Source organism: Homo sapiens, chromosome 1, assembly GCF_000001405.40.
Source record: "Homo sapiens chromosome 1, GRCh38.p14 Primary Assembly".
Lineage (NCBI taxonomy): Eukaryota > Metazoa > Chordata > Mammalia > Primates > Hominidae > Homo > Homo sapiens.
Window position 1 is genome coordinate 146,048,249 of NC_000001.11, and position 19,653 is coordinate 146,067,901.

A 19,653-nucleotide genomic window follows, 5' to 3' on the forward strand; every position below is an offset into this window, starting at 1 on the left:
TCGATGTATTCTGTCTCCCTAAAATGAATAAAAGCAAGCTGTACCCGACCACCTTGGGCACATGTTGCCAGGACCTCCTGAAACTGTGTCATGGGTGCCACCTTAACCTTGCAAGGTAAACTTTCTAAATTTATTGAGACCTGTCTCACATACTTTTGGATTCACAAATGTTAGATTAATCCATGAGAGAAGCATTGTTTATTTATTTATTATTATTATTATTTTTTGAGATGGAGTCGGCTCTGTTACCAGGCTGGAGTGCAGTGGCGCAATCTTGGCTCACTGCAACCTCTGCCTCCTGGGTTCAAACTATTCTCCTGCCTCAGCCTCTCAAGTAGCTGGGATTACAGGCACCTGCCACCACGCCCAGCTCATTTTTGTATTTTTAGTAGAGATGGGGTTTCACCAAGTTGACCAGGCAGGTCTCGAACTCCTAACCTTAGGTGATCTGCCCGCCTCATCCTCCCAAACTGCTGCAATTACAGGCATGAGCCACCACACCCAGGAAAGGGAAGCACTTTTTTTTTTCTGTTTTTATAGATGAAGAAATAGAGATACAGAAAATTCAGTAACGTTTTAAAAGTCACATCATGAACCAACCAAGATTTCAACCTGGAAATTGAGGCTTCACCACAAGTGAAGACTGGGATTTTCTTGTTTTCAATTATTGGGAGTTTTGGATTTCCAGGAATGTGCAGTTGTAAAAACCCAGCTTCAGGAAGTGATGAAATAAGTGCAGTGGCTCTGGAGTAAGCTCTGAAGCCCCAGGCTCAGGCTCTATTGAAAAATTACTTTTGCTGAAATATTCTTGTTTTTAGGAACTTCCATGGAACTTGAGCCTTCGCACAGCGTATTTTGGCATCGAATTTAAAGCTAGTAGAGGTCCGGAAGATTCCCAGGATTAAAGTCTTTAAACAGAAAGCGTGAATCTTGCCTAAGTAAAAGGTACCATCTCTGGGTGGGCTTGAACCACCAGCCTTTCGGTTCAAACAGCCGAAGGCACTAACCGATGGCGCCACAGAGACTCTAATGGTTTAGATTTGCTGATACCAGAAATGGCATTTTAACCTCTGGCCGTAGATAATCTCATATGTTTGTAGCCTGTCCAATCCCGCGCACTCCAGAAACCCAGAACACGGGAGACATTGAAGCCAAGAGTCGAGTCTTTGGGCACTTTGGACGTTCTACCCGGGCAGAGTCAGCTGGGGGACTCCAACGGCCAAACGGCCGCCTGCTCCTCACCGTCTGCTCTTCACTGGTTCCCCCGCCTGCTCTTCACCGTCTCAAAAGTCGCCGGCCCCTCTACAGGCGACAACTGCAGCTTCTCCGGCGGAAGTCACTCGCTTTCCCATTCTTAGCCCCGCTTCACACCTTGAGCTCACAGTCATTTCCGCCGGGCCTGGGCTAGCGGACGCGCGCGTGGGAAGGACCAGAACCCGTGGTGTCCTCACCGCGTCACCCTCGGGCCCTCAGAGGTGGGATCCACCGGACAGGGACCTGGAGTTTGCACAGGCTGCAGCCCTTCGCCCAGAGCCAGCCTAGCACCTAGTAGGTGCCCAATAAATGCTTGGTGAAGGAAGGCATTCCACCGCAGGGTTTTAGGAGAACCATGAATTCCCGTGTGAACGTTAAGCGTTTAGTCCTACTAGGAAGTCTGGAATATAGAGACCTGAACTGTTTCTCAAAGGCAGCTGTTCTTGTATCCCCAGAGCCGGTTTAGAATCCAGCAAAGGCCCCTGCCCGGTGGATCCCACCTCTGGAGACCCGAGGATAGTGCGGTGGGGGGCACCGCGGGTTCTTGTCCTTCCCACGCTCACGTCCACCGGCCCAGGCCCAAAGGAACTGGCTGTGGGTACAAGATGTGAAGATAGTTACAAATACCAGCTAGTGCCAGTGCCAGTTGCAGAAATCAGGACTTGTAATAGTTATGAGTATTTCTTCATTATTTTGAGATGAATACATTTGGGTGTATATTAACCAAAACTTTTCTTGAGAATTCTCCTCTTCCATCACCCTAGCTAGCACATTCATTAATAATTAACTTTTAGAAATCTCAATATTTAGGTTACAGGAAAGCAAATATGGAATGTGATCTATCTAGCTAAAAAAGGAGTGAACATCATTCAAAGACAAAGACTTTATCCTGTTGGGGAAAGGGTTGGCATATTTTCACTGAATGAGAAAAAGTATGATTTTCATATTGTCTTTATTTGAACCTTAAGTATGATTTTACAAGGAGGAAAAAGGAGGAGGAAGAAGCAAAAGAAGAGGAAGAGGAGGAAAAAAAGAAGAGGAGGAAGATGTACATTGATGCCACTTTGAGAAGAAGTGGACTGTGGTGGATTTGTAATGTATCAGTTTTGCCAAGCTGAATGCACATTTCCCAGATTTGCCATCTTTAGATAGCTCTAGGTTAGCCTGGGCAACAGGAGACACTTGGAAGATAGAATTCGAGTGGCTGTTACACTCTTTTGTATACTGGGAAGGGCGTTGTTACAGCTCAGGCATGATCTTCAGCTTCCCTGACCCTTGGACTGGTGGGTGTTTTGCTTCTTGATCTAACATTAAGGTTAGAAGTTGCAGGATTCCAGCAGGGTTTTGTCACATCCAATCTGGTTTAAGTTCTCATATTATTAGGAAAGCTTTAGGGTGCTTCAGGAAAACGCTTTTTAAAAAATCAAATTTGGAAAATATCAAATGGAATTATAGGCAATAAGCATAACCCAGTGGAACCATGAATCAAACCCTCTAGAGCAGGGTTGTCTAAATTTTGGCTTCCTTGGGCCACACTGGAAAAAAAAAAAAGACACTTGTCTTGGGCCAAACATAATATACACTAATCGCAATTGAACTGTACCTGTAAAGCTTGTAAACAAAATGTGTCTGTAAAGTCTGTAAACAGGCCAGGTGCGGTGGCTCAGGCCTGTAATCCCAACATTTTGGGAGGCCGCGAGGCAGGCGGAAAACTTGAGGTCAGGAGTTCAAGACCAGGGTGGCCAACATGGTGAAACCCTGTCACTCTTTTTTTTTTTTTTTTTTTTTGAGACGGAGTCTCACTCTGTCGCCCAGGCTGGAGTGCAGTGGTGCGATCTCAGCTCACTGCAACCTCTGCCTCCCGGGTTCAAGCGATTCTCTTGCCTCAGCCTCCTGAGTAGCTGGGACTACAGGCACGTGCCACCACACCCGGCTAATTTTTTTTTTTTGTATTTTTATTAGAGATGGGGTTTCACTGTGTTAGCCAGGATGGTCTTGACCTCCTGACCTCATGATCCACCCGCTTCCGCCTCCCAAAGTGCTGGGATTACAGGCGCGAGCCAGTGCGCCCGGCCCGGTGAAACCATGTCTCTACTAAAAATTCAAAAAATTAGCCGGACCTAATTTTTTGGTTGCCTGAGCCTGTAATGCCAGTTACTCGGGAGGCTGAGTATTCTCTGGTTGAGGAAGGAGAATAGCTTGAACGCAGGAGGCAAAGGTTGCAGTAAGGCGAGATCGCGCCATACACTCCAGCGGACTGTTTGCTGTTAATCCCATAGGGAAAAGAAAAGCTTAGTTTTATTTCTATAGAACAACAACAAAAAAAGATAAGAGATTAGTAGAGACGGGTTCACTATATTTGCCCACACACGCCTGAGGTCGAGCGATATTAACATAAACATAACCTATCGACGTACCTCATAGATTGCTGGGATTACAAACGTGAGAACCACGATGTCCCAAATTTTTAGTTTCAGTGAAGTTACAGATGGGAACAAAGACCTGATTCTCAGCTTACGCTGACGCCCAGTATGCGTTTCTGCAGCAAACAAAACCTATTTTTAAAACGACAAAAATACAGGGGAAAGCGCGAATGCAGTCTACCACTGCCACAAATTATACAGTCAAGTTTCCCACATTTGGGGAAACTGCAGGGGTCAGCAGATCCGGAGTGCAATGGATAAGACTCGCTCTGGAAAAACCACCTTCGTGACCAGGGTATCTCTCCTGCCAGGTAAGTATGAGTTATTGCACCTCCGCCCCGCCGGCAGCCTCACACGCTTCACCCTTTACACGCACGGTCACTTGCCCCGCGCACACCCCCCTCCCCCCCAGCCCTCCTAGCCCTGACACACAGCTGGGACTCTCAGGTCCGACCAGCGGTCCTGAACCCGCTCCCACGGCACGGGAACTCCTTCGTGGCGAAGCAGCATGTGGCGAAGCAGCAGCCCCTGCGCTGGCTCATCTACATAGAAGTCGCCCTATCCGTGATGTCACCGACAGCGCCTTTCCCAGTCCCCGTCTGCCTTTCTGCCGCTCAGCCGACCAACCCGCTGCCGGAGCCGGCAAGGGGAAGTGACGTCTGCCTCTCCCTTTTTTCTCTCCTGCTTCCCTCATCTGTTCTCTTCCAAAGAAGCTGGTCCTTAGCCTGTATTGCGGAGCAAGCTTTCGGCGACCAGCTGGACCCTGGGCACCCTTCTTCGAACAATGGCTTTTAATTCTCAGACTAGAACGTTTAGGATTACAAAAGAAACTGGTTCTTTTCACATTCTTATTCTTGTGATGTAGCATTCCGCATATATATATATATATATATATATATATATATATATATGTATCCAACTATCCTAAAAGACACTACCCTTCATCATTCCATGCCATTAGACATGTATAGGACCATGCATGGTGATCTCCTCCAGACAAAAGTAAATGCTGGTGCAGAACAGGTAAGTGTACTATAATTTGAGTACATCAGCTTTTGGGCATTTTAAACCATGGGTCAGACAAGTTAGAGCAAGAGGGCAGGTTGATAGCAAGAGGGAGTGTTTTTCTTTTAATTTTCTTTTTTTTTGTTTTGAGACGGAGTCTCGCGCTCTTCGCTCAGGCTGGAGTGCAGTGGGGCTATCTCGGCTCACTGCAAGCTCCGCCTCCCGGGTTCACGCCATTCTCCTGCCTCAGCCTCCCCAGTAGCTGGGATTACAGGCACCTGCCACCACGTCCGGCTAATTTTTTGTATTTTTAGTAGAGATGGGGTTTCACTCTGTTAGCCAGGATGGTCTCGATCTCCTGACCTTGTGATCCGCCCACCTCGGCCTCCCAAAGTGCTGGGATTACAGGCGTGAGCCACCGCGCCCGGCTTCTTTTAATTTTCAAATAGCAAAGTGATGTTTGCCACTGTCATTTCAGAATGAGGTGACAATTTGTTGTTGTTTGGTTTTGTGGGGTTTTTTGTTTGTTTGTTTGTTTCTGAGACAAGGTCTCACTGTCGCCCAGGTTGGAGTACAGTGGCATGATCAGGGTTTACTTCTGCCTTGACCTCACGAATTCAAGCAAACCTCCTTACTAATCCTCCCAAGTAGCTGGGACTACAGGTGCATGACACCACACCCTGGGGTGTGAACTGGGATTTGATGTTTTCAGTTGGCTCCCTGATGGAATAGGTTCCCTTACTATTCTGGAATACAGATTGTCTTCATGATTATGATTCATAATCATAATGATTATGACAGCAGTCCCTGCTGTCAGGCAGGGACGTTTAAGTCTGCAGAAGCTGTCTGCTGCCTTTTATTCAGATATGCCCTGCCCCCAGAGGTGGAATCTAGAGGCAGTAGGCCTTGCTGAGCTGCAGTGGGCTCTACCCAGTTCGAGCTTCCCTACCACTTTATTTACACTGTGACCATAGAACCACATACTCAAGCCTCAGCAGTGGCAGAACCCCCTCCCCCTGCCATGCTCCAGTGTCACAGGTTGATCTCAGACTGCTGTGCTAGCAGCAGGCAAGGCTCCATGGGCATGGGACCTGCCGAGCCAGGCACAAGAGGGAATCTCCTGGTCTGTCGGTTGCAAAGACAGTGGAAAAAAGCACAGTATTTGGGCAGGGGTGTACTGCTTCTCGAGGTACAGTCACTCACAGCTTCCCTTGGCTAGGAAAAAGAAATCCCCCAACCCCTTGCACTTCCCGGGTGAGGCGACACCCCACCCTGCTTTGGCTCATCCTCCGTGGGCTGCATCCACTGTCCAACGAGTCCCAGTGAGATGAACCAGGTACCTCAGTTGGAAATGCAGAAATCACCTGTCTTCTGCGTCTATCTCACTTGAAGCTGTAGACCGGAGCTGTTCCTATTCAGCCATCTTGGAAGCAACCCTCTTTTTCTTTTTGTATTTTGGTAGAGACAGGGTTTCACCATATTGCCCAGGCTGGTTTCAAACTCCTGAGGTCAAGCCATTCTATAAAACAAACTTACATTTGTTTTATCTGAGTTCCTTCCTCAGGAAAGGACTCTCAGGCCTCTCAAAAAGCATCAGAGACCCGAAACTCAGCCAATCACAGCATCCAGACAATGAGATGCCAGTCCCCTCACTCATCACGAGTGCTTCCTCACCCCTCTCTAGTTCCTCTTTTCCCACACACAGTTAACTTTTCTTCTGCGCTATATAAACCCCTAACTTTAGTCAATCAGGGAGACAGATTTGAGACTCATCTCCTGTCTACTCAGCTGCAGCACCTGATTAAAGCCTTCTTCCTCAGCAATACTCAATGTCTCAATGATTGTCTTTCTGTGTGCTGAGAACACTGAAGCCCTGGGGTTTTGGTAAAAATACATGTACACTTTTAAAAACCGCAATTAATGGGTTGTGGTATATTGAGAAATTGGAGTGGCATCAACTTGGCCAATTCTGAGGAAACACACTGTGCTTAAGTGTGAGGGCCCTGCCTCCTGACCTCGACAGTTTATGGTTGATTTTGAGGCACAGCAGGGGAGTATGGCCTGGTTTGAGTGTTTTATAGAAATGTAAAACATGGCTGATTACTTTTTATTTTAAATCCAACAAATCTCCATTTCTGGTGAGAAAATCTTGCCAAAACCAACCAAACAAATGCGTAGAAGTATATGAAGAAGAAAATGAAAGATTCCCTGCCTCCCAATCCCACTTGCTTGGTGTCAGCCATTATTTATCACATGGAGGAAGGGGGCAAGACACACAGGAAGTCCCAAGTCCTGTTCTCACAATCATCTGGCCTCCCTGGGCAAAGGGAAAAGAGGGAAGGCAAAAAGAATATAACACTACTGTTTGCGGAAATTTCCCCTTGGTACAGGAAACTCTGGTAAACTGAGAGAGTATGTTTTCCAGAGGGAGGCCTCAAGGGCTCTTCTCTGGCCCTAAGCCCAAACTGGATTTTGCCTCATTTTCTGAGGTGCAAATGAAATGATAAAAGTTGATCAAAGGAGAGGGCAGAGAGAAAGAAAGAAAGAGGATGACTCCTCTCTCGCAGGTCCACCTTCCTTGGTGTTGCTTGAGGGATCAGAAGAAATGCCTTAACATAGGTGTGTGGGAACTATGGCTGCTAAGTATGAACTCAGTTACCTCCAGTTATAAGCTAGTGTGAGGTTCCATGGTGTAATGGTGAGCACTTTGGACTCTGAATACAGTGATCAGAGTTCAAGTCTCACTGGGACCTTTCTGTATAATTCCAGTGAGGTTCCTCTCTATTGCTCCATAAGCAGAATGGGGGAAATTGCCCAATCGTGGTCACAGACCCTCCATGCCACTGGCTGTGTGCAATTGGAGTCCCGGACCCAGCGACCAGCAAGACCCCTCCCCTCTCAGGGTGACCCTGGGCCTCCAGGTCACAGGTCTCCACTAAAAAGGCTGCCTCCCCTCAATCCTAGACCCCGAGTTTTCTTTTGTTCATGTCATTGGGCCATTGCCCTATGTCTCTTTGGAAGAAATGACCTATATGAAAAACTTTACTTCCAGGATTCCCTAATTCTTTCATCCCTTAGGACAGTGCAGTTTTTCATCTCCTGATCTTGGGTCCAGTACTAATGGCGCGTTTCATCTTGTTTTCATGGGATCCCCTCCAACCGGCTACCAGTGGATTCCTGTCCTTGGGGTCTCTGTGGATGACAACTAGATGCTGCTCTTGTCCCAAATCCTGACACCTCCCTCCAGGGAATTGCCTCCCTTCGCCTCCTAAATCAGCCAATATTTAGATTTGAGCCTGGAATCCCAGCATCTGTGGAGAACGGAGGTTCCTGATCCCTGGCCAGCCTCCCGCAGTGAAGGGGAGAGGAGCAGAGCAGCTGGGAGGGGCAAGTCCAGGGTCCTGGGCAACCCCCTTCTTCCTGCCCAGACTCTGCTCCAAGGAGAAGTTGCCTTAGGACCAGATCAGATGGAAACTCTTGTTCTCTTCTCATCAGCAGAAAAATTTAGGCAAGAGCTCTGGAGGACCTTCCTAGCTCATAAAAATGCTGTGGTCAAGTCTCTCCAGTTTTGGAAGTGTCCAAGGTTACCAAGTGTTTTGAGGGCTCACTTTGGAGCCTCTGAAAAGGAGGGGTCAGGGCCCATGGAAGGTACCTGAGGGATTCAGGAGAGAGAGGGGAAAGAGCAGACAGGAGGGAGGAGAGAAGGAGGGAGGGGGAGAAAGGGTGTGTGAGGGCCAGGAGCCAGGATTCACCCTGACAGTTCAGTGACTGCTCCCTGGCCCCAAAGTTCCCACTGTGGCACCTTCCAGCAGGTGGTTTCCATCTCTTATTGATGTCCTGAGAACTTGGCTCTACAGAACGGTCCCACTCTATTTGTCTGGCATGAGTCCTGCAAAGTTTCTTTTCATCGTTTGGGGGATGAGATGGGGGTATATAGGTTTGCAAGTGACTAGGAGCTAAGTCAGGACCTTGTGGAGCTGCTCAGAGTTAACTGTCAAGTAGCCTCCTTTCCCCCTTCCCTAGCAGGACGATTGCCTGCAAGACAGGGCCTGGAGGAGGCCAGGGAACCCAAGGCCACAGAAATGCCCAGGGATGAGTCCCAGCTGGAGATGCCTTGGCTAAGCTGACTGTGCACTTCCAGGGCTCACAGGGGTCTGGCCAGGAGACTGAGCAAGGGGACCAGGGAGGTTATGCAGAGGCTTCTGCACAGCAAGGCAGACATTCTTCTTGGAGCCCCCAACCCAAATCAGGTCTTCCACCTCCTCTTCCTAAAGACCCTTTACTGCTGTCGTTCTTTTACTGAACTACAAGTTTAGAGGACATGGATTTCAGTGCCCTCATCTGGCCAACCATCTTCAGCTGCCAATGGGCAAGGTAACCTCCCTCCCTGCCAAGACCTGACTCAGGACCTTTCCTTAAGGAGATGTCCTGTTCTTTCTTTCCCACCAGAACTGCCCTGGCCCAGACCCCATTTCTGTCTGGTGACCAGGACAGTCCCCTCACCAGTCTCCCAGGTTGGGGAGGGCAGATCCTCCTCAGCTCCCTGCCCCTGAGAGACCCCAACCGTCTTGTGTGGCTCCGGCCCACAGAGTGATATCCATGGCCCATATCTCTCAAAACTCTCCCCTCCCACTCTGAATCCACCCTCTACTGCATGCTCCCCTCACAGAACAGACTAATTTTTGTGTGTGTGTCCTTGTTTTGCCTACCTGTACCCCAGACAGACTTTTCTGTCTTAGAACTACCTGTCCCTCTTTGGACAGTGTCTTCCTGGTACTACACATGAAGATGTCCCGCTCTCCCCTGCTCAAGGAGAGAGTGCCTGACCTGAGCTGGGCCCATCAGATCCAGTACTTACCTGGAATACGAAAAAGATGGAGAGAGTGACCAAAGATTACAAAAATCTCTGAAGCTTATCTACTTGAGAGAGAGTCCCTGAAGATACTGGCCTCTCATTCCTGCTATGTATATCCAATGTGACTGAACTCTGAATAAAATATACAAGTTATAACAATGTAGCAATTGACCCAGCAAACGAGGACACAAACGTGTTGGAGGGTAAGGTGGTGAGAGGCGTGTTTGGGGGTGGTGGTGATGAGCAAGTATGTGAAGGAGAGGTAGTGCCTAAACTTGAAAATCAAAAAGTAATAATATCTATTTAGACATAAGGAGATAAATAACGAAATAATTGCTTCTATGTGATGAAACTCTGGGAGTACACAAGGGGACTGCTATTTTACTAAACAAATTTTCAAATATATATAACTTTGATAAAGTATCCAAATAAAATAATTCCTTTCCCATATAAGTATGTGTATATATGTATTCATTGTATTTTGAAGATAAATTTTTACACAGTCATGTTAATCGCTTTCATTTAAGGATTTGAGTTTGATGTCTTGCATACAATGTGATCCCACTGTATGACTACACAAATGTTGGCAAAAGTGAGTTCAGAGGAAATGGTAGGCAAGTACTTCCCAGTTTTGGCCAGAAGATGGAGAAAAAAGAATTCTCAAAAAATGTTAAAGGTATGACCTGTTATATCTTCTTTTCACAGTAATTTAGACAGAAATTAGCAAAATCAAACATGTATAAATACTTTGGTCTGACAATTCCATCTCCAGGTGTCTACAGAGAAATAGACAAGTGATGCACGACAGATACATGTGTCAGTCTGGTCCCTGCAGTTGTATTTGTAATAATACACATTGGAGCAATTTCATGGCCATCGGTTAGAGAATGTTTGAGGAATGATCCATTCATATCAAGAAGGACATTTCAAAGATCAAAACCTGATGGAAATGCTGGAGACCATGGCGCTGATAGGAGCTCATGCGTGTGGACCAATTACTACGTGACAGGCATTGGCTCCATGCTTTTCCTGCACTGCTCATTTAAACACTGGACAACCTAAGTGTTCTGATTTATCCCATTGGACAGATAGAAATGGAGGCACAGAAGATTAATGTGTTTAACTTCAAACCCTGGCAGATTAGGTTTTTCATCCAGAGCCTGTGGCTTCACCATAGCTGTGATTCACGTTCTGTCATTCTCCACTTTAGGAATTTCCAGTATTCCAAATATGAGAAGCTGAGAAAACAAACAACAAACTCAAAACCCTAAAAACCGGATACGTAAGGGTAGATGTTTGTTGGGTGTGGATTAAAAATGGACTTTTTTTGCCCCAAGCAACAAAGAGGCACCTTAGAAAATAGACAAGAGACAAGAAGAAGAGAAGCTTTAAGAGATATTTGGTCCAAGGAAGAGACTCTTCAGATGGAAGGTCACGTCAGCTAGAAACATTAATATGACTGGATGGGCTCAAACCACTGACTTTTCAGTCAACATCTGACAGCACTAACCCAGTGTTCCAGAGACACTGCTTGTTAAACAGTGAATGCTGTTGCTCAATTGTGTCATCCGTAATTGTCAAATATTGGCATTTAGTAGCACAAGGAAGTATTCTCCGTTGCCAAGCTAGAGCACCCATAACTCTTCTGTTTTGTTGAACATTGTTCCCCACCACAAACCCTCTTTAGAAGACTGGGGGCTCCTAAAGCATTGAGGCCGAGAGTCCCGTCCTTGTGCATGTTTGGGCATTGACCCAGGGCCAAGTCAGTGGGAGACTCCTCCACGCCTACGCCAGGTCCCCAGGTGACAACTGCAGTCTCTGGATCTGAAGTCATCCACTTTCCCATTCCTAGCTCACCTCACCCATCGTGAAGCCTGGTTAGTATTGCCAGAGACCCGAGTGGGCAGATGCCCACACCAAAGACAGAACCTGCTGCGTGCCCACCTTGCTGATCCCTCCCTCCTTCTAGACAAAGGCTTCATAAGCCAGGGACCTTGGGTTTGCTCACAAGGCAGCCCCTCACCTAGTAGGCATTAGTTCATTATGTATATGTATATGTAGTCCTCAGGTTGTATTCCTTAAATATATATAGTTTAAGGATATGTATTATATATATATAAATATATATGTAATTCCTTAAATATATAATTTTAATACAATTTTTTTTTTTGAGATGGAGTCTCACTCTGTCTCCCAGGCTGGAGTGCAGTGGCACCATCTTGGCTCACTGCAAGCTCCACCTCCCAGGTTCACGCCATTCTCCTGCCTCAGCCTCCCAAGTACCTGGGACTACAGGCGCCCGCCACCACGCCAGGCTAATTTTTTTTTTTTTTTGTATTTTTAGTAGAGATGGGGTTTCACCATGTTAGCCAGGATGGTCTCGATCTTCTGACCTCATGATCCACCCACCTCGGCCTCCCAAAGTGCTAGGATTACAGGCGTGGACCACCGCGCCTGGCCAAAACAAAGTTTTTAAAAGATTCCTTTAATAAACATTTACAATAACATCAAGAAATATAAACGACATAGCAAATATGTGAAAGCCAGCCAGACTCTCAATGGCATCCAGAAACATAAACTACATAGAAAAGACATGAAAGCCAGCCAGGCTTGGCTTCGAATCCCAGCACTTTGGAAGGCTGTGGCAGGAGGGTTGCTTGATCTCAGAAGCTTGAAATTAGCCTAGGCAACATAGTGAGCCCTCATCTCTACTGAAAATCAGAAAAATTACCCGGGTTTGGTGGTGTGAGCCTGTAGTCCCAGGAATCAGTGGATGAGGCCCTAGGATGTCATAGGCCTGAGAATTCCATGCTGCAGTGAGCTGTGATTGTGCCACTGTACTCCAGCCTGGGTGAAAGAGTGAGATCCTGTGCAGAAACAAAAGAAGAAAAAAAGAGATATGAAAGCCTATATATTGAAGACTACCAAGTACTGCTTAGAGCAGTTAAAGACCTTTGGAATAGAAAATGTTTCTTCTTGCATTTCAAGATTGCTTTTGTTTTGGGGGGACACACTATTTTTTAGGAATATGAAGTTCTTCTTAGGCATTCCTGTAAAAAAGGCCACTTCTTGATAGGATTGTATTGAATCTGTGGGTTGCTTTGAGTTGTATTTTTATCTTAACCATGTTACAACTTCCAACCCATGGACACAAGATGTCTGTCCATTGATTTAGGTCTTCCTGAATCTCCTCGAGCAATGTTCTGTAGTTGTCTGTGTACAAGTACGGCACCTTCTTGAACAAATTTATTCCCAGGCATATTATTCTTACAAGTGCTATTATAAATGAAATCATTGTGTCAATTTTCTTCTCAGATTGTTCATTGCTAACACAACTGATTGTTTACTGAAAGTTTGCTGAATTCACTTATTAACTCTAGTAGTGTGTGTATGTGAGTGTGTGTGTGTGTGTGTGTGTCTGGCCTCTGTGTGCATGTATGTGTGTTTGCATCTGTAGGTATTATTTGGGATTTTCTATGCATAGGATCACACCATCTGCAAATTGAGATCATTTTGTTTTCTGTTCAAAAATACTTTTTCTCATGTTTATTTTTAAAAGATAATTTGGCCAGGTGTAGAATTGTAGGTGACAGTTTTTCTTTTTTTAAGTTCTTTATTGCAAACTTCTTGTTTGTATGTGAAATCTTATGCCATCCTTATATTTAGTGCTCTGTATGTAACATGTTCTTTCCCTTTTTATTCCTTTTAGGATTTCCTTTTTATCACTGGTTTTGATGGATTTGATTAAGGCGTTCCTTGGTGAAGTTTTCTTCATGTTTCTTGTTCTTAGAATAATCATATTTCTGTAATATTTGAAGTTTATGGTTTCCATGGAGCTTCTAAATCTTTCATCCAGTATGTTTTAAATATCTTTGTCTCTCTTCTCCACTACACGCCCTTCAGGGATTCCATTTAGCCCTATACTGGGGCGTTTAAAGTTTTGATGCCGATGGTGTTTTTATGTTTTCAAGTCATTTGTTACTGTGTGTTTCATTTATGTTAGTTTCAACTTCTATTCCTTCTAGTTCAATAATCTTCTCTTCTGCAATGTTTAATCCACTGCCTTCTTCCATTTCAGACTGTAAATCATACTTTTTATCTACAGAATTTGATATTTAAAAAATCTTCAACCTCCCCATTTAATTAAAATACAATTATACTAACTGCTGTAATGTCCTTTTCTTCTATTTCCAACATGTCTGTCAATTTCAACTAGATTATTAGATTCTTCATTATGTGTCATGTTTTCCTGCTTCTTTGGCTGCTTGATATTCTTTTATTTTTATTTATTTTTTTTGCGGGGGGATAGAGTTTTGCTCTCGTTGCCCAGGCTGGAGTGCAATGGTGTGATCTCAGCTCACTGCAACCTCCACCTCCCAGGTACACAAGCGATTCTCCTGTCTCAGCCTCCCAAGTAGCTCAGATTACAGGCATGCACCATCATGCCTGGCTAATTTTTTTGTATTTAGTAGAGATGGGGTTTCACCATGTTAGTCAGGCTGGTCGTGAACTCCTGACCTCAGGTGATCCATCTGGCTGCTTGATATTCTAAGATTTGATGCTGGAACTTTGGTGTCAATGCTCAAAATGCCCAAAGACACCACTCAACCTCAGTGTCTATGCACACCCAAGCTTTTGCAGCAGGACAGGTAGAGCAGAGATGAATGTGCTACAACATGCTGGTAGAGGGTACCACCAATTGTGCTTGGGGATTTCCTATTCCTCATGGAAAAATGTGTCTTCCTTAATTTTTCCCATAAGAACCACCCTACTTCATGCCCTGTCTCTCTGTCCAAACACCAGGACAGTCCTCTCACCAGTCTCAACCACCCAATGGATTGACAAAGGTGCAAATATGATTCAGTGGAGAAGGCATTCTCTTGTCAACAAATTGTTTAGAAACAACTTTTTTTTACACAATTTGTTTTTTTTTATCCCCAAAGGAAAAAAATTCACCTGAACCTCAATACTAACTCAAAAACTAACTCAAAATGGATTATGCAACTAAATATAAACTATAAAACTAGAAAAAGTATAGCAGAAAATATAAGACAAAATCTTCATGACACAGAGTTAGGCAAAGTGTTCTTTATTATCAATAAACACAAACCATTAAAGAAAACATTGATAAATTCGACTTTATAAAAATTAAAAGTTTTTGCTCAACAGTATTAAGAGAACAAATATAAGCTGCAGTTTGGGAGAAAAACAGTGGAAATCACCAATATGACAAAGGGCATGTGTGATAGTTACTTGTACTTGTCACTGTGACCGAGCACCAGGGTGCCAGGACATTTGGCCAAACATGATTCTGGTTGTGTTCCAGAGAGTCTTTCAGATACGATTAACATTGGGATGGGCAGACTAAGTGAAGCAGATTGCCCTCCTTAATAGGGGTGGGCCTCATGCAATCAATCAAGGGCCAGGAGAGAATTAAGAGGCCTAATGGGAAACAAATGCTTTCCTGGGTATCCAGCTTTCCTTCCATCTTGGGAATTTCAGCCTCCATAATCTCAGAAGCAAATTCATGTATATATATATACACACATATACATTTCATAGGTATGTGGCTAAGATTGTATTTTTACAAGTTCAGCCATGAGATTGGTGAAGCCAGCCAATGAATAAGGGTGTGTTCTATTATACGATTCAGTCTTCTTTTGTAAACGATTGAAGTTCTGCATTTGAAGTAGGAGGATAGGAGGGAGCAAGTCCACCTAGGATGATAACAGCTGAATTTCTCAACATACACTTCAGAGCTGTAGGGGTCAACTTAGAGACTCAAAAATCTCACCCATAATCCTGCCCTAAACACCAGGGCTAGGGAACACTGTGGCCCTCAGGTGATTTTCTTTAGCCAGGTCTGGGAGCCACACGACGGCAGAGGGAGCAGGAAACACTATGCAAATAGAGGCCAGGACAGCAGGGAGGGCCTGTTCATGATAGAACCCAGGCAAAACTCTCCTCAGAAAGCGAGTGTGGAGAAACATAGATCATGCCTGAGACCTGGTGGATTAGAGCACTGGCTACTGGGGAATTGAAAGGAAGGGGCTTCACCGTGCAGAGGACCAGAGGTGCCAATCTTGGAAATGCAGAATTGCTGGGAGATGGGGAGGCACGGACCATGGAAGTATCCTCTGGAGACTCATGGTGAAGAGAACAAATGAATGAAGTAACTGGCAGAAATTAGAGGTCCTGGTAGAACAAAATAGAATCCCACAATGAGAACATACACCATGTATGTCCCCCAAGGAAGACAATATCTCCTAAAAACTCCAGAAAAATCATTTTGGGCAAGCACCTTATATCTAGTAATGCGATCCATGTATCGAGACCGTGAGAAAAGATTATTAAACATGCTAAACTCAGCGAGACCTGATTCCCTCATGAGGACTCTGTTAAGGATGAGTACCACTCAGCAAGTGACGACTGTGACATTCACTTTTGAATAGCTCATGAGCGTTAATATATTTCAATGTGGATCTAAACCAAAAACCAAGGTAGGGGCAAGATGATAATCACAGAATGTCACCGGTATATGTTTAGGTTCAAATACTATTATGAGAAGTGGCAGGTAAAGGAGGTAGGAAAAAGAAAACACATCATGTAATTGACTGTTGTATGGAAATATTTGATGCTGAAAGTTATAATTTAAAACTATAAACCAAATATTAGAAGTGTGTCTAGTCCAAAGGGAGGAAAACCATCAAAAACATTTTTAGTGCAATATTTAACATGAGCTATACAACCCTTCCTAAATGCCAAAGGCACACACAGACACACACACAGACACACACACACACACACTCACACTCACGAAGAATACAAATGACTAGAACCAAGAAATGTAAATACATTCTGCTACATATGGTAAACATAGCCTACAATGTGGAAGAGATTAGAAAATAAACATGGAAATGAAATGTTTTTATTAATTCGCATCAGTACCCACCAAAACCAATCACCATAATCAAATATTATAACACTGAATGTAAAAAACAATCCAAAAGTCCAGAGTGATAGGCAAAAGGTTTTAATTGTATAGATTAAAATTAACTTTGGACAAAAATTAAAACTCAGGCAGAGAATGTCTTCTTTTTGCAACAGCAGACACTAGTAAAAACAAAGGCACAGTAAAAATTGAGACCCCAAATTTGCAGTGTAGAGATATGAATATAATAATAGACACAGGCAGGGAGGATTAATAAATGATAAAATGTTTAGAGGATGATCATTAGAATACAGGATATTTATACTCTTGAAAACCACTTTCCCAAGTACTTCATTGTAAGTAAGGTGTCTCTAAAAGGGACAGATCTCCTAGACCCCTCCTTAACCAAGTAACCAGTCCTGATATCATAATGGTGATGGACAAACTAGACCTTCTCTGCCCGCAGATGGGCTGAGGTTGGAAACTCACAGCATTGTCTCTGCAGTGTTCCTGGCAAAACGTTTAGGCTGAATTTAATCATGAAGACATTTTCAGACAACTTCAGAATGTAGATCATTGAGCCAGACAGCTGACCTGTCTTCTATAAACAAGTCCATGTCACCACCATCCATGACAACAACAAAAAGATGAGGAAATATTTGGGGTTCAAAATAACTAAAGAAATGCAGCTACATTATCTTTTTACTTTTTTTGAACCCAAAATATTTCTTCTCCTTTTTGTTGTGTGATTTGTGGTGATATGGACTATGTGAAGGAGACAGGTCAGTTGTCCTGCTCAGTGTTCTACATTCTGCAGTTGTCTGGTGATTACCTCCTATGAAACTCAGGCTAAGCGTTTTCTGCAAGAACATGGCATTGTTCATATTCTGCACCGGCAGAGTCCTGGGTGACATGCTGTCTCCTGCCAGCGGCTCCTGACTCCTGTTCTCTACAGGATGGAATTGAGAGGAGCAGGGCTAAGGCCTCCCAATGCTGTTTGTCCATCTAGCTGTGGTCTTCCTAAGTACTGACACCAATTGGAGGCTGAAGGACTGTGGCTTCTCTAACCAAAGGAGTCTAGCGGGTTAACAATTGTCAAGAGCAGTTGGTGGTTCTGAAATACAATCCTCAGCCAAGGATCCCTCCTGTGTTACAGATGGATCAGCTAAAACAAGCCAACACTGAAGACACAAAGAATGAGGTTAGGTTCATTGAAACCAGGGTAACACCTTTGGATGAGCTAAACACAAAGATGACAATGACCTTGAGCAGGTATAGAAGCTCAGAGACATGCCTGCAAAATGAAATCCCTGAGGAATTTTGTAGCTACCCAGAGATACGTGGTTCAAATTAAAATGTCTGACTGATCACTCCCGGCATGTGCTGCACAGTTATGTGAACGTGTCACACCTAACGTGGGTCCATTGTCTTCAGACTGCGCACAGGTTGCCACTGGCATGGTTTGAGAATAGGAATAGAGCCATGCCCACTGACCCATCCTATGTCTGGGCTTCCAAATGGAACTGTACTTTCATTCAAATCTTCACTTGCCTATAGGTCCTGCCTGCAGGAATGACATCTCTCGGATTACTAAGGGCTGCTTATTGTGGGAATATGACTCCCATCTGGAACACCAGGTGGAGACTTGTCACCGTCAAAGTAAAAAACCTATTGTCCACGTAAAGGGCGAAGCTGATGTGCTGTTCCTCAAATGAGTAAAACACACTTCTGTAGTGCTGGAATGAGTCAGGTAGTTCAAAGTACATTGACGGAGTCGAATAACATCTATCCAGTGAGTCCTGTAAGACTTCACGCTCTTCCACTTCCATCAGCACGCCGTTGAGCCTGGAAAAGGAGACAAAACTAAAGAAGCAGCCAGGGAAAATCAGACACCACAGAGCCCCAGCTAGATTTCAGAAGCAACATAAGGAAGTGGTTAGAAAAGAAAAAGGATAGAACCATTAATGAGGTAAAAAAAAAATTTATTGCCTTTATGTTGGGATAGAACAGGGCCAGGTAGAAAACAATGAAAGAGAAAGACAGAGAGAGAGAGACAGAGACAGAGACAGAGACAGAGAGAAAGTGACCTAGTGAATTGGCCAGGTGACATACTGGTAAGGGAGTCAAAGGACACTCTGACTTAGTGCCCTCATGACACACAGCAAACAGTGATCATGAAAAGAGTGAGCTCAATAGTTTTCCATAAAATATGCTCAAAATTCGATGCAGTGGCCATGAGAGTACAGCTTTTGAAGTATGGTCAACCTATGGTACGTTAGGAAATGATAAGGGGAGGAAGAAATGGAAACCTAAACATCTACTGCAATGAAAACCAACAGCAATGACAGTAGGAGTAATTCAGCCTTCGTTGAAAACATGTCATCAAACACACTCTGGTTTCCCTGAATCTGTTGCCTCCAGGTGTTAACACAGAACTAAGGATCCACAATTGCTGAAAGTCACCTGGGGCATGGTGGGTTTTGATCTTCTTCCCCTTCTTTTCTTCCCCTTCTTCTTTCCTTCTTTGATCTTCTTCCCCTTCTTTTTTTCCCCTTCCCCTTCTTTTCAATTTCTGCAATAAATTCAGACATGGACAGACACATTAAGCTGATTCCCCTACACACATAAAAATCCACTGTCTAATCCTCACACAGGGACCTCAGGCTCCTCAGCATAAGAATAGGACACTGTGAGAGATATATTTCAGGAGGCCTGAAGGCTGGTCATGATAGAAATTCCTCGGTTTTTCTCCCAGAAACTGTGGGTAAAATGTCCCTATTCTAGTAGATCGTTATCCCAATATCATTTGTCCCAAGTTTGTGCAAACAGTTACGCCATATTTTTCCAATCAACGTAAAGCAAATACCCTCAATGATTTCTAGGAGAAAAACTGCAATATTTAGCCCTGTCTCATCAAATACTCAGATTGTTCATGGTAGTGAGGACTCCAGACACTGAAATTAGAGTGAAAAAGGAAATCTACAAACCCTTGAGTCAAAATCACAGTTCTCTGAATTTGTCACATCTGCCCAGGTCCAATGTCATGAGAATAGGATCAGGGCGCCACAGGTATGGCCTGAGACTAGGAAGAGAGTCTTGCTCACTGAACCATTTCATGTCTAGGCTTCCAGCTGAGACTACAGTTTCATTACAACCTATATGCGCCCATAGGTCCTGCCTGCGGC

The 19,653-nt window shown here is 44.4% G+C and overlaps 1 protein-coding gene, 1 long non-coding RNA gene and 1 other non-coding gene across 5 annotated transcripts in view, besides 4 other annotated features; 1 reads left to right on the plus strand and 2 right to left on the minus strand.

Annotated features, from left to right (window-relative positions):
- Nucleotides 3,206–3,934: an enhancer, noted in NCBI's record as "NANOG-H3K27ac-H3K4me1 hESC enhancer chr1:145382819-145383547 (GRCh37/hg19 assembly coordinates)". NCBI's record gives its function as "activates a minimal SCP1, AML or CMV promoter by ChIP-STARR-seq in primed H9 embryonic stem cells {active_cell/tissue: H9 hESC(primed)}" and the evidence as "EXISTENCE:reporter gene assay evidence [ECO:0000049][PMID:30033119]".
- Nucleotides 3,206–4,666: a biological region, named in NCBI's record as "NANOG-H3K27ac-H3K4me1 hESC enhancers GRCh37_chr1:145382090-145382818 and GRCh37_chr1:145382819-145383547".
- On the minus strand, nucleotides 3,833–3,996 carry RNVU1-6 (RNA, variant U1 small nuclear 6). The gene has a single exon (NR_104085.1). It is a non-coding gene; the product is annotated as an RNA, variant U1 small nuclear 6 (small nuclear RNA).
- Nucleotides 3,846–4,085: a silencer, noted in NCBI's record as "silent region_1275". NCBI's record gives its function as "represses an Ori minimal core promoter by ATAC-STARR-seq in GM12878 lymphoblastoid cells {active_cell/tissue: GM12878}" and the evidence as "EXISTENCE:reporter gene assay evidence [ECO:0000049][PMID:35858748]".
- Nucleotides 3,935–4,666: an enhancer, noted in NCBI's record as "NANOG-H3K27ac-H3K4me1 hESC enhancer chr1:145382090-145382818 (GRCh37/hg19 assembly coordinates)". NCBI's record gives its function as "activates a minimal SCP1, AML or CMV promoter by ChIP-STARR-seq in primed H9 embryonic stem cells {active_cell/tissue: H9 hESC(primed)}" and the evidence as "EXISTENCE:reporter gene assay evidence [ECO:0000049][PMID:30033119]".
- LINC01719 (long intergenic non-protein coding RNA 1719) lies at nucleotides 4,348–10,551 on the plus strand. Of its 2 annotated transcripts, NR_125967.1 has the most exons (4): nucleotides 4,348–4,700; nucleotides 9,446–9,740; nucleotides 10,065–10,213; nucleotides 10,310–10,551. It is a non-coding gene; the product is annotated as a long intergenic non-protein coding RNA 1719 (long non-coding RNA). The 2 variants fall into 2 exon arrangements; NR_125968.1 differs by lacking the exon at nucleotides 9,446–9,740.
- A 5,899-nt stretch (nucleotides 10,552–16,450) lies between these two features.
- The window catches only part of NBPF10 (NBPF member 10), an 80,106-nt gene continuing 76,903 nt past the window's right edge, over nucleotides 16,451–19,653 (minus strand). Inside the window, exons 85-86 of one of the 2 annotated variants that reach the window (NM_001039703.6) lie at nucleotides 18,932–19,040; nucleotides 16,451–18,313 (exon numbers count right to left, since the gene is read on the minus strand). In NM_001039703.6, the coding sequence (NP_001034792.4) occupies nucleotides 18,070–18,313; nucleotides 18,932–19,040 (353 nt within the window). In that variant the 3' untranslated portion in view covers nucleotides 16,451–18,069. The remainder of the gene's footprint in view (nucleotides 18,314–18,931; nucleotides 19,041–19,653) is intronic. The other variant, NM_001302371.3, reaches the window with a different exon arrangement.